We start from the raw sequence: 12,237 nt of genomic DNA on the forward strand, positions 1-12,237 counted from the left end.
AAGATCGCGTCACTACACTCCAGCCTGGGTGACAGAGTAAGACTCCATCTCAAAAAAATATAAAATAAAAATTGAAATCATGTATGTGTTTAATTTTCAACTGCCTCATTTAATGTTTTCCCTTGTATTTGGAAAGATCAGAAAAAAAGCAAAAGAAAAGAAAGACTTTTCAACTAAGAATATATGTTTACGCAGGCTGCTGCTGTTAAAAGTCCAGTTTTCTGTATGGAAAATCACTGTACCTTCTGCTCAGTTTTGCTGTGAACTGAAAACTGCTTTAAAAAACAAAGTCTATTTTTTAAAAAATCCTTTTTCAGGCTAGCTAAAATTACAATTATTTATGTATGTGTATATGTTCTTTTTTTTCTCCAAGATCCATGCATACAACCTTGAAACGAATGCCTGGGAGGAAATTGCAACAAAACCCCATGAAAAAATAGGTAAATTTAAAGTATTGATTAATTTATCTTTAACAAACATGTATTATACTTTTACTCATTTTGGAAGGAAAAAGTAATTTTACTGAGTTATATGTCAAGTTAAATACCTGTTGGGCTGGGCGCATTGTCTCACGCCTATAATCTCAGCACTTTGGGAGGCCAAGGCTTGAGCCCAGGAGTTTGAGACCAGCCCAAGCAACATGGTGAGACCCTGTGTCTACAAAAAATACAAAAAAATTTGCTGGGCCTGGTGGTGTACACCTGTAGTCCCAGCTACTCCGGAGGCTGAGGTGGGAGAATCACCTGAGCTTGGGAAATAGAGGCTGTAGTTAGCCATGATTGAGCCACTACTCTCCAGCCTGGGCATCAAAATGAGACCCTATCTCAAAAAGAAAGAAAAATCTGTTGAACTGGTATTAGAAAATACTTGTATTCCTTAGCCCAATTATAATTTTTCCTTAGGGCTGGGCGTGGTGGCTCATGCCTATAATCCCAGCACTTTGGAAGGCCGAGGTGGGTGGATCCTTTGAGGTCAGGAGTTCGAGACGAGCCTGGCCAACATGGTGAAACCCCATCTCTACTAAAAATGTAAAAATTAGCTGGGCGTGGTGGCATGTACCTGTCATCCCAGCTACTTGGGAGGCTGAGGCAGGAGAATTGTTTGAACCTGGGAGGCAGAGATTGCAGTGAGCCAAGATCACGCCACGGCACTCCAACCTGGGAGACAGAGCAAGACTCTGTCAAAAAAATAAATAAATAAAAAACAAAAACAAAAACTAACAAAAAAACACAGTAATTCTCCTTAGCGATTGAGCAAAGAGACTTTTAATCCTCTTTGTTGAATTCTTTGGCAGAAGTTGGGAAATATGGGTGATATAAGAAATTGGAGCCTAAATAAAGATCTACCGGCTGGGTATGGTGGCTCATGCCTATAATCCCAGCACTTTGGGAGGCTGAGCCCAGGAGTTCGAGACCAGCCTGTGCAACATGGTGAAACCCTGTCTCCACTAAAAATACAAAAAATTAGCTGGGTGTGGTGGTGTGCACCTGTAGTCCCAGTTACTGAGGAGGCTGAAGTGGGAGGATCATTTGAGCCCAGGAGGCGGAGGCTGCAGTGAGCCAAGATTGCACTGCTGCATTCCAGCCTGGGCAACACAGTGAGACCCTGTCTCTAAATTAAATAAATAATAAAGATCTACCTATCTCCTTGTGGGTAAAAGGGCTTGGGAAAGCCACTAGCAACTCCTGTCCTTTCCCTCTTTGTTTCCGGCACCTTAGCATTGTACTGTTATGATGAGACTCCTGATGGCTTTTGAAATAAGGAGGGAGTGGAAGGACTAGTCAATGTTTGCTTAACATGTAACAAAGGGATTGTTTTGAGTTACACGTAGTGTGTCTTTCACTGTGTTATATCAGTGTGGTTCCCAGTCTTTCTGTAAGTAATGGAACTTCTGTGTTTGTGTGTTTGGCAGGCTTTCCTGCAGCCCGAAGGTGTCACAGTTGTGTTCAAATAAAAAATGGTAAGGATTCTAAATAACATTTTGCTTCCATTTCTGTAATTGTATCTTCTGAAAATGTCTTATTTCCTAAGATAGCCCCCTCAAAAGAGGCTCATAACTTTGAGAAAAGTCTATTTCTTGTAAACTTAAAGGGAAATTCATAGTTATGCCTCTGTCAGCTGTTTTCATAATGTAAACTAGTATGGTGTTTGGGTTCCTTCAGTTATTAGAGAACTCAAAAAATGGTGATAAATAAGCTTTTATTGTAGCACTTGATCTTTCAGCATCCCACACCTCAACAGATGTCTGTGGTTATGGTGGCTAATACTAATAATCTTGACTGTTTATACTGTAGAGACCTCAGCGAACATTGTATTAAAATTGTAATAACTCCTTCAGAGTGTTATTTCATAAAGTTGATTCTGTTCTCTCTCTGATGCCAAATGGAACTCTTCACTCATTCTTTGGCCATATTACAACAAAGGCATTGTATGGCTTCAGAAAGCAGCTGCAGCTACTTTAACTAAATGTGATAAGTGACTCCTCTCTGGATAACCTTCCTGTCTTTTAATTTACAACTTATTTCATCGTCTGATATAGCTCTTAAATTTTTTCTGGGAGGAAAGCATGTATAAATGAGTTAGATAGCCTGTATGCTTTTAGCAACTTAGTTCAGATACAACTAGGATTATTCTGCCATCTCTAGTTCAGAGGGATTTTTTATTGTGCTCCTGCTTTCTGGATAAGATTTATAGATAATGACATTGCTCACATTTCTCTCTGTGAGAATGGAACTGTACTTTCAGTTTTCCTTGAATCCTAGCCAAAAAAGTTTCCAGTGCATTTTATAGCTTAAGTATTGGCTTAAACTTGGTCTAGACCTGAGTTAAGAAATTTATTCATTTAATTCTTTGAGGCCAAGCACCATACAAATAGAATTCAACCTTAGTTCTAGGCATTTCGTTTGAAGGTTCACATAGCCTTTGTTACAAGTTATCTAATTAGTTATAACTAACTGATTTTACCAGAAAACCCACACCTTTCATTTTGGGAAAATTATTCCTAATAACTGTACAGATCAAACAGAGCTTCAGTTTGTCCTCTTCTCGCCGAAGAAAGCTTGGAAGAGCCTCTTTTGTGTTCCTAAACTGAACATTGCAGTGAAGTGAACGTTCCTCCTCAGGTTAAATGTCTACATAGAGACTTTAGTCTCTGCGAGCAGATAAATGTATATTCTTTCCAGGACATTATTTAAAGAAGAGTTTGCAAACTGGTGGCCTGCAAATGTGTTTTGTTTGGCTCATATGTGTATTAAAATTTTTTTTGAGGCCAGGCATGGTGGCTCATGCCTGTAATCCTAGCACTTTGGGAGGCTGAGGCGGGAGGGTCACTTGAGCCCAGGAGTTCAAGACCAGCCTGGGTAATATAGTGAGACCTTGTCTCTTAAAAAAAAAAAAAAATATATATATATATATATATATATATATATACATACTAGCCAAAACTTAAAAATCAAAATGTTTCATTTTTAAAAACATAACCAGATTTCCAACTTGCCTTGAAAAAAATGGACGATCTGGCAATTGCCAGCCTTAAGTCTGTTATAGGACCGAACAGCTGGGGCTGCATAGCTGTCGCCTCTTTTAGAGCATGAGCATTTCTGTCTGTTTTCCTGAGACTTCTGTTTGTTTATCTTCCCTAGACCCCCTTGCTCATTTACTTTCTGTGCCTGGAATCTGTAGGTATGTGTTTGAATTTGGTAACTTTGACATGAAGGCTCCTTAGAGGCTTGCATTCTTAGTCCCAGGGAAGACCCTGACATAGCATCTCAGTTCTGTTGAGGGACAAGACAACAGCATGAGAGGCTGCACAGCAGAAGTCGTCTGTGTCATGGGGCAATCCACTTCACTGGCCGCATGTCAGCTGGCTGTGTGACCTACTCTAAAACACTCCATAGCTTTGGCTCTTTTCCTTTGTGTGATCTTGGCTTTCTCTTTTCTTCATAGATGTATTTATTTGTGGGGGCTATAATGGAGAGGTGATCCTGGGAGATATCTGGAAGTTGAATCTGCAGACTTTCCAATGGGTGAAGCTCCCAGCTACCATGCCAGAGCCAGTTTATTTTCACTGTGCAGCTGTTACACCAGTAAGTTTTTATTTTCATATCTTCCTTATGTAGTTACAGATGATAAGGAAATCTTTTTAGAGATATTAGCAAGAAAAAAAGCCAGATATAGGCAAACCTTAGATGATTAATAACATATTTTTAAAACTTCCTTCCAAAGCTAGGCCCTCCTCTAAGAAAAGAGGAGAAAAATCATCACACCCAAATTTGAGAGAATAACATAAATGTAAGAGAAATGCTACCTGTGGCATTCCGGCCCTGACCGTGATGTCAAAGGTGTTTCCTGGGAGGGCGGAATAGTTTTACCCCCTTGATACCATATTATTGAAGATCCTGCTCATTTCTTGAAGGCAAAGGCCTTTATTTTCATCTTTGTATTCCCAGTATTTGGCATCTTGGATACTTAATATAGGTTTAGTTTAATGTTAGTTAATAGTGAAATTGTTTGTTGTTGAAGTAAAAAAAAATTCATATATATAGGCCGGGCGCGGTGGCTCAGGCCTGTAATCCCAGCACTTTGGGAGGCCAAGGTGGGCGGATCACGAGGTCAGGAGATTGAGACCATCCTGGCTAACACGGATGAAACCCCATCTCTACTAAAAATACAAAAAAAAATTAGCCGGACGTGGTGGCGCGTGCCTGTATTCCCAGCTACTCTGGAGGCTGAAGCAGGAGAATGGCGTGAACCCGGGAGGCGGAGAGCTTGCAGTGAGCTGAAATTGCGCCACTGCACTCCAGCCTGGGCGACAGAGTGAGACTCTGTCTCAAAAAAAAAAAAAATCATATATATATATATATAGTTTTTCCCTTAGTAATTCATTAATTATTTAAACCCTCTTGATCTCCACATGGTATTGGGATCAGTGAGGAATTCTTGTTTCATTTCATTTTGATTCCATCTACTATGCTTTTTCCCCACTGAGTCTTCAGCCTTGTATGTTTCTCTCCCGTTTGAATTTGTCCTCTTTTGACTACTCATAGGCTGGTTGCATGTACATTCATGGAGGAGTGGTGAACATCCATGAAAACAAACGGACTGGGTCATTGTTTAAGATCTGGCTGGTGGTACCTAGCCTGCTGGAACTGGCATGGGAGAAGCTGCTTGCGGCCTTCCCTAACCTTGCAAACCTCTCCCGAACACAACTTCTGCACCTTGGACTCACACAGGGACTCATCGAACGCTTGAAATGAGGATTTCTGGACTGTTCATTGATACTGGAAATGTTAATTTAAAGAGACTCCTTTATTTATGGGCAGTGTAGAATGTGCTACAAAGAGGATTGGTTACCCTGATCAAGGCCTTATTTAGAAAATACATCAGATGCCTTTCTGTAAATTGGTTTTTCAGTTTATGGACATCTCACTTTCCCACGTGCTTCCTTCTTTGCTTCTGTTCCTCCTGACCCATTACATGCACATGTACTCACATACTCCCTCTTCCTTCTCGATGGAGTTAAGGGAAAGCCTGAAAGTACCTTAATAATGTTATTAATCAAGACAGATTCCTTTTTAAAGGAATTCTGAATAGTTCCATGTCATACAATATTCTAGAAATTAAAACATCATCAACATAAAGAAAAATGAAATTAAAAAATTTTTACATCTAGCAACAGCAACAACCACAAATTTAGGGGAAGCTGAGAAGGCTAACCTTGGGAATCTTGCAGGTTATACTTAAACCTAGATGTTTAACTTAGTGTTTTCAAGATGTGTCTAACTGAGTAGTAGCTGGGTCTGATGGCAGCAGTGCTTGCCATCTTGTTGCACAGATAACTCAAACCTACCCTTTGGCTTTGAAGGAAGGTTAAGCAGCCCAGCAACTCTTGGTTAGTGATTTCTTTCTCATCCTCATGGTGCCAGCAGTGGTTAGAGTTGGTTTGTCAAAAGACTTACGTGTGTGTCGTGGTCGTGCTCTTTGTTGTTGCTCTTAGAAATTATGGCACCAAGAATGTTTCAAACGGAAAAACTTGTGGTGGCCAAAGTTCTTCATTCTGGCAGTTTTGAAACTCTCTTATGCTTATTAATGGTTTTAAATATCTCTTTGACTTCTTCATGGGGAATTGTAGACCCTAAGTATGTGGTGTAAATGCCATGTAACATGAACACAAGCTCCCGAGGGAGGCCAGAGAAGAGCCAGGCAGAGAAAACCTGCATCCTCTGGGCTTGTTAACTTGGCTTCCACTCGGGCTGTGGTCTTTGGCTATCATCTTGGCCATTTCCTTTTGAGAACTTGTTTCTTTTCTAATCTCTGGGCCAGGTACCTGCCATTTTCTCAGGCAGTTGGTCCTTGATTTTTCCCTTAGCTTGTTGCCTTCTTTTCCGTCTGCTTTAATGTGCATGGTGCTGTGAATAATTGTCTAGTAATTGGATACAAGGTCTTGGGGGTAAAGCCACAGGTCATCCTTCCTGAAGAACCAAGTATCATTTAAAAACTAGCATGAGGAAGGAATGAAACTGAGTAGCATTCATTTTGTGTGTGTGAAATTTTAGTTCTGGTTTGTTTGATTTGTTTTTTTTTTAATTCTAAAAAGAATGACATAAATTTTCACTCGCTTTGCCATCTGGCTGCTAGGGGAGCTGAGCAAGAGGCTCACCATGCGCATGTGTAAGCCGCAGGTGTACTCAAGGTGCTGAAGGCGTGCAAGGGGCAGCGCTGGTCCTCCCGGGGCCAACTCACAGCAGGAGACTCGCATGGGAGAGTTGGAACACATCTTTCCTTTAAGTGCCTCTTTTTTCACCTAGCTTTTAAAGTTATTCTTTGTCCTTCATCTCAGAAGGGATCTCTTTAGCTTATGTGTGGATTTAAAATGACCTTTGAGCTACGGTTAAAAAGCTACCATCTGGTGTTCAGTTCTGGGAAAGAGAAAACCGTAGCCTCCAGACATGCTCCTGATTTCTAGGCCTTATCATACCATCCCCTCTGTGATGGGTTGAGTTCATGGAGCCTGTATTCTGGGAAGTCTTATAATAACCACGCACCTGTGAACGTGGGTCCTTTCTGGGGAGTGAGGAATGTGGGAGAGAGGCAGAAAAAGGAGCAGCTCCTCTAGGGGCCCATCCTCCCACATCTTGCCATTACCAGTCTGTGTAGCACTTAACCTCCTGCCACCACTGCCAGGCTTGCTCCTCCGTTCTCTCCCAGAGCAAGTCAGTCTGAGCAGCTCCATTAGTCCAAAACAGAGCTTTGCTGCATGACTTCAGCCTGGCCTCTGGATATTTGGTGGAAATATATTCTAAATTGAACAAGCCAGGCTGTCCAGGGTGGCAAGAGGATTTTTGACCTGGATTTATACAGGGACCAAAGACTGAATGCTCAGCCTCTGTGCTTAGACTTTCATGGTCCTTAGGATAGAAGTGAGTCTCTAGCCCTGCTACACCAGAGAGCTGAAGAGAGATGTGGTCTGGTTCCATCCATACTTGCTGGCATCCTTTGTTAAGCCTTCTGAGGGCAGTCTTCTTTGAGGTAGACCTTGGAGGCCTGACATCGAAGACCTGTGTGTTTTATTTTCATAAAAGTATATATCCTTGGTCTAAAGTGTCTTCTTTTAATATAACACTAGTAAAAATGACATGGTATGACCAGCACTGAGTGCTATAGAACCACACATGTGTACATGTTCTGGATGCCAAATGAGACTGTGTGTAAATGACTAAGTGTAGATAACTAGAAATTAGATAGGGGTCATCAGGCGTTTCGGTATACCTATAACCAGCACTCGGAATTCCTGACACTGTTTACTTGATTTAGGAAAGTTTATGCCTGCTGCTTCTCTGCCTCTTTGAGGTACTCCCAGCCGTCTTACTACAGTCCTGTAAATTTAAGTGCAATATATAGAAACATATGGATATATACAGATTATATATAGGGTGTAACTATAAAGCAGGTAGACTACTTTTTTGCATCTTGGGGAAGTGAGCTCATTACTTTAGGTTCAAATTATGCCAAGAATTTTAGATGTGATCAGCTGGCTTAAGCCAACTCATGTCATGATAAAGCTGGATTTTCAAGTCCATGTTTTCTTACTCCAACTCTTAGAGACTCATTGTTCCTTAGGTTTGTTAGAGTTGAGATTTTTTTTCTCCCTGTCATCTTTGTACTCTCTCATGTTTGCATGTCTTACATTTTGTTGCCGGAGAACAAGGAAGTCCATCTGTAAGGAGTTTCCTAAACGGAGAATTAAAACCTAGTATTTAACACTAACCATTCTCCTATGTATATACTAATTTATCTGGGAATGTAATACTTTATTAAATGAAGAAAATGATGCTTTCTTCATTTAATATTTTCCACATCCTGGAAAAACTATAAACTGACACAGAATAGGTTGAAATCTTAACTGGGGCTAAACAAAACCCTTTCCATTGGCAGAATCTCCTTTTTTCAGGGCCATAATGACATGATGTAAAAATTTGCTTTAAACCATTCATGCCCTTAAATAGCTAGATTTTAAAGCATAATAAGCATATTAACATTTTTAAGCAAAAGATACGTTAACAGTGACCTTTGGTTATCCACAGTAGCAAGAGTAAAGCACAGATCATTGAAATCCATAGATAATCAGTGAATCAACTTTCCTACCAAACAATAGATTCATTTACATTTCTTTTTCCTCCCTATCCTTTCCTGTAAGCACCTGTTTTTCCATGGAATGGGGTTAATGAGTAGGTAGAAAAGGAAAAGGAATAATCAGTAGGAGCTGACAACCAGTGACCATATAAGCAGCTGATTGCCTGTAATTAGTCAGGCTGAACAATTAGAGTTGAATGCTGAAATTAGGAACCACAGGTGGTAATCCTGAGTAGATGTAGCTCTTCAGCGTCATCTCCTGCCCTGAGCTCCAGGCCATCTCTCTAACCACCAAAGAACTCTTAGTACCTACGGGAAGGAAAAGCTGTGTGCGACACAGAGGAAACTCCATTATTTGAACACATTTCTTTGGCTCTTGACAAATACTTGCTTTTCCTCTAATCTTGCAAGAGCTATGGCTCTTCTATTTTCCAATCACACAGCTTGGCATGTAGGAAAGGTTGAATGATCCTCTAAGACTGTGTTGGTCTTCGTATTCTGTAAAACCCATTTTTTTTTTGTGGTCTTACAGATGTTTAGAAAGTGGCACAGGTTACTGAATTGTCTACCTGCCAGCATTCTGATATAGCACAAAAAGCTATTTTCCTTTATTTTTTGTATTATTTTTTATTTTTCTGGCATTGAGCTCTAGGGTGGATGAGGGTTTATGGTCCTCTGATCATAAGCTCCATTCTAAAAACTGGTCACTGTTAGCTGAAATTGCTTTGGTTCCCCAAATGCCTTGGAACTCCAGACGCACCCGCAGGGCCTGAGGTAGGCTTCATAGAGTTCTAGGACTTCCGTGTGCGTTGCCACCAGATCCTGCCCAGCAATGGCCTTTCCCTTCTAAGGTCATTAGATTCAGCCAAAAGCGACCTCTTCTCTAGTCCGGTGTTACGAACAGAAGTTCTGAGTTGTGCTACAAAAGTAGTTCCATCTTTTTGGTGTAATTTTCATGTTTTTAATTTGAAAAAAAAAAAAAAAAAAAAACAACTTTTTATAAGTTTTTTAAGGGCCCTGCTTAGTCAGTGTACAGGGTGGAGTCAGAGGCAGTTTTCAGAAAAAAACAAAAAACAATTTCACCAAGCGGTAGTAATTGTTGTTTTACTAGTTATACATTTAGAATATAAAGGAGGCATCAGAAAACACACTCTCTAAAGCCACTTCCTTGTGCACAGAGTCTGCACAGGGAGAGCACAGGCATCTCCCTGGAAAAGCACCTGCCAATGACGAATTTCATGGAAGAACCTAGGCAAGAAAGGAAGCCTCTTTCTGAGACACAGTCTCTGAGAGGTGAGCCTAGCTTTGCTCTTCCTACAGGGTATGCTTGGGCCATACACAATGCTCGCCTTACTTTAAAGCTATTTTGCCACAGTCCTGTTAAATAGTGTGGACGTCCTTTTGCAGTCTGGTGTGCATGCCATATGATCAGGACAGCTTTTCCACTTTACTCGGTTTCCTACAAGCAAGTAGGAAATACAGTGAATTTACCCTAAAATGTCCAATCTGTATTTATGTACCTTGTCAGTGTTTTGCTGTTGGTTTTCTAAAACAATCTGATCAATAAATCTTATCCAAATCAATTTGGTTCAAGTTCACCTTGATTGTCTAATGGTAATTTGTGTGTACGTGAGCGCACCTATATGACAGAAGCGTCAGTCCTACCCACCTCCACCAGGCTCAGCTTTTCTCTGTAATATCTGTGAGTCATCTGCCTTCCACCCCCACTCCACTGTGGGTTCTTTATCTGCTCATTATCTGGAACTCCTGGACACACAAGAGTTCCCTCACCAGCACACTGCTCCCTCCACAAAGACATCAGCAAGGGAGCAACTGTCGGGCAGCCCACACTCCCTCTCACTGCCCCACCCCATGTTCCCCAAACCACTGCTAGACAAGTTTGTATAGGTATATCAAGACTTTTCTGAAGGGTTGGAAGAGCTACAGAGAATTCAAAGGGAAAATGTGAACCCGTATATATAGTCATCTGACTGTCTTTATGATCTGAGGGAAGAGCCCCAGGAGCTGCTGAGCCCTGTGCAGGGGTCCTCTGGGGGTGAAACTACACTTCCTAGCTCTGCCCTTGGTCTTCCAGATGCTTCCCTCACCAAAACAAACCTCTGTTTTATGATGCTGTGATCTCTAATCCTCTAATCCTTCTCCATGCAGTGCTTTTCTCCATGTCTGTGTAGTCCAGAGTAGGTAGGGAAGGATACTCCCAAGTCTGGTCACTTTTAAGGTCTCCCTTCTAGAACTGAACAGATGCCTTGTATTTTTCAGTGTTTCCATTGGTTAACTATTGGATCAAACACACCTTCCATGGACAAATAATCTTAGATATTACAATATACATCTACAAGGAAGAAGAGAAACAATTTCTACCCATTCATCCACCTTACAGTTAATACTTTATTATGCAGAGCAGTCTTCTTTCCTTGGGTTTATTTCTCCTAACTATACTCCTCTCCAAGCTACCAGATATAAGAAATGCACCCTATACCTTTCAGTCTTCAGACCAGCCAGAGCTTTGAAATGGACTCTTATGTGCATCTGATTTGGTTCTTAGATAAGGCATCTAAGACCCATCTTGGCCTAGTGGGAGGAGTTTCAGTGGCCTAGTTGGTTTGCGTGGTTTTGTTCTTCCAGTTTATGTGTATATAATTCTAGTTTGTTAAAATGATGTTGTTAAGCTACTTTAACAACAACCACATTCTCTTGTAGTTAATCTTCTGCAGTAATTGCTTGAGGGAAGAAAACATTGGTAAAACCATCCAGTTTCCCTACTGCCTTCAAATGAAAGGCCAGGTTCTAGCCCAGTGCTAGAGCAATAAAGCTTTCTGCAATGGTGGAAATGTTCTGTATCTGCACCACCCAATATGGTGGTAGCCACAAGCCACATGGGGCTTTTGAGTACTTCAAATGTGGCTAGTATGGCTGAGAAACTGAATTTTTAATTTGATTTAATTTTCATGTATTTATAGGGAAATAACCACACATGGCTAGTGGCTACCTCTTAGTGCAATTCTAGGAAGAGATGACCTGGGGGTTAGGAGACAAGGGCTCTGCTCTTGGCTCAGTCCATAATAGCCCTGTTCTGTATGCAACTTGCTTTTCTTTGGGTCTTGGTTTACTTATCTGTCAAATAGGAGGAGGTTGGCTAGATAATCCCCAAGATCTAACATTATTTAGGATGTTTGGCCAAAAAAGGCTGCAGCATAATGGTGAGTACCATAGGTGTGCAGTGCTAGGACTGGAGTTACCTCTTAAACTCGATCCTGATCTTAAGATCACTGATCCCACCGTGGTGGGAGGTCTGCTGCCCGCTCCAGGTGGTTCCTTAGTGAGTGGCACAGTCAGGATTTCCACTTGCATAGTGCAGGCTCCAAGAAAAAGTATTGAAAATGGAGTAGGGACTAGAACACGGCCACTGCCAAGCCACCTGTAACCCACTGGTTTCAAAACCATGATCCATACTTGTTAACAATACAGATTCCTGGGCCCAAACCCCAAGGATTATATTTTAATAAGTGTGTAATTTTAATAAACTCTTTCATTGATTCCAATTCAGCTGGTTTAAGACATTTGGGAACCCCTGACCCACAGCTG

General features: G+C 41.1%; 1 protein-coding gene across 5 annotated transcripts in view; it reads left to right on the top strand.

Annotated features, from left to right (window-relative positions):
- Window positions 1-10,214, top strand: part of KLHDC10 (kelch domain containing 10) — a 65,172-nt gene extending 54,958 nt beyond the window's left edge. For all 5 annotated transcript variants that reach the window (XM_047420061.1, XM_047420062.1, XM_047420063.1 and 2 more), the window contains 4 exons: window positions 374-440; window positions 1,913-1,960; window positions 3,946-4,085; window positions 5,046-10,214. In XM_047420061.1, coding sequence (XP_047276017.1) covers window positions 374-440; window positions 1,913-1,960; window positions 3,946-4,085; window positions 5,046-5,255 — 465 coding nt within the window. In that variant the 3' untranslated portion in view covers window positions 5,256-10,214. The remainder of the gene's footprint in view (window positions 1-373; window positions 441-1,912; window positions 1,961-3,945; window positions 4,086-5,045) is intronic.
- Window positions 10,215-12,237: the final 2,023 nt, after the last annotated feature.

This window comes from Homo sapiens, chromosome 7, assembly GCF_000001405.40.
Source record: "Homo sapiens chromosome 7, GRCh38.p14 Primary Assembly".
NCBI classification, from domain to species: Eukaryota; Metazoa; Chordata; class Mammalia; order Primates; family Hominidae; genus Homo; species Homo sapiens.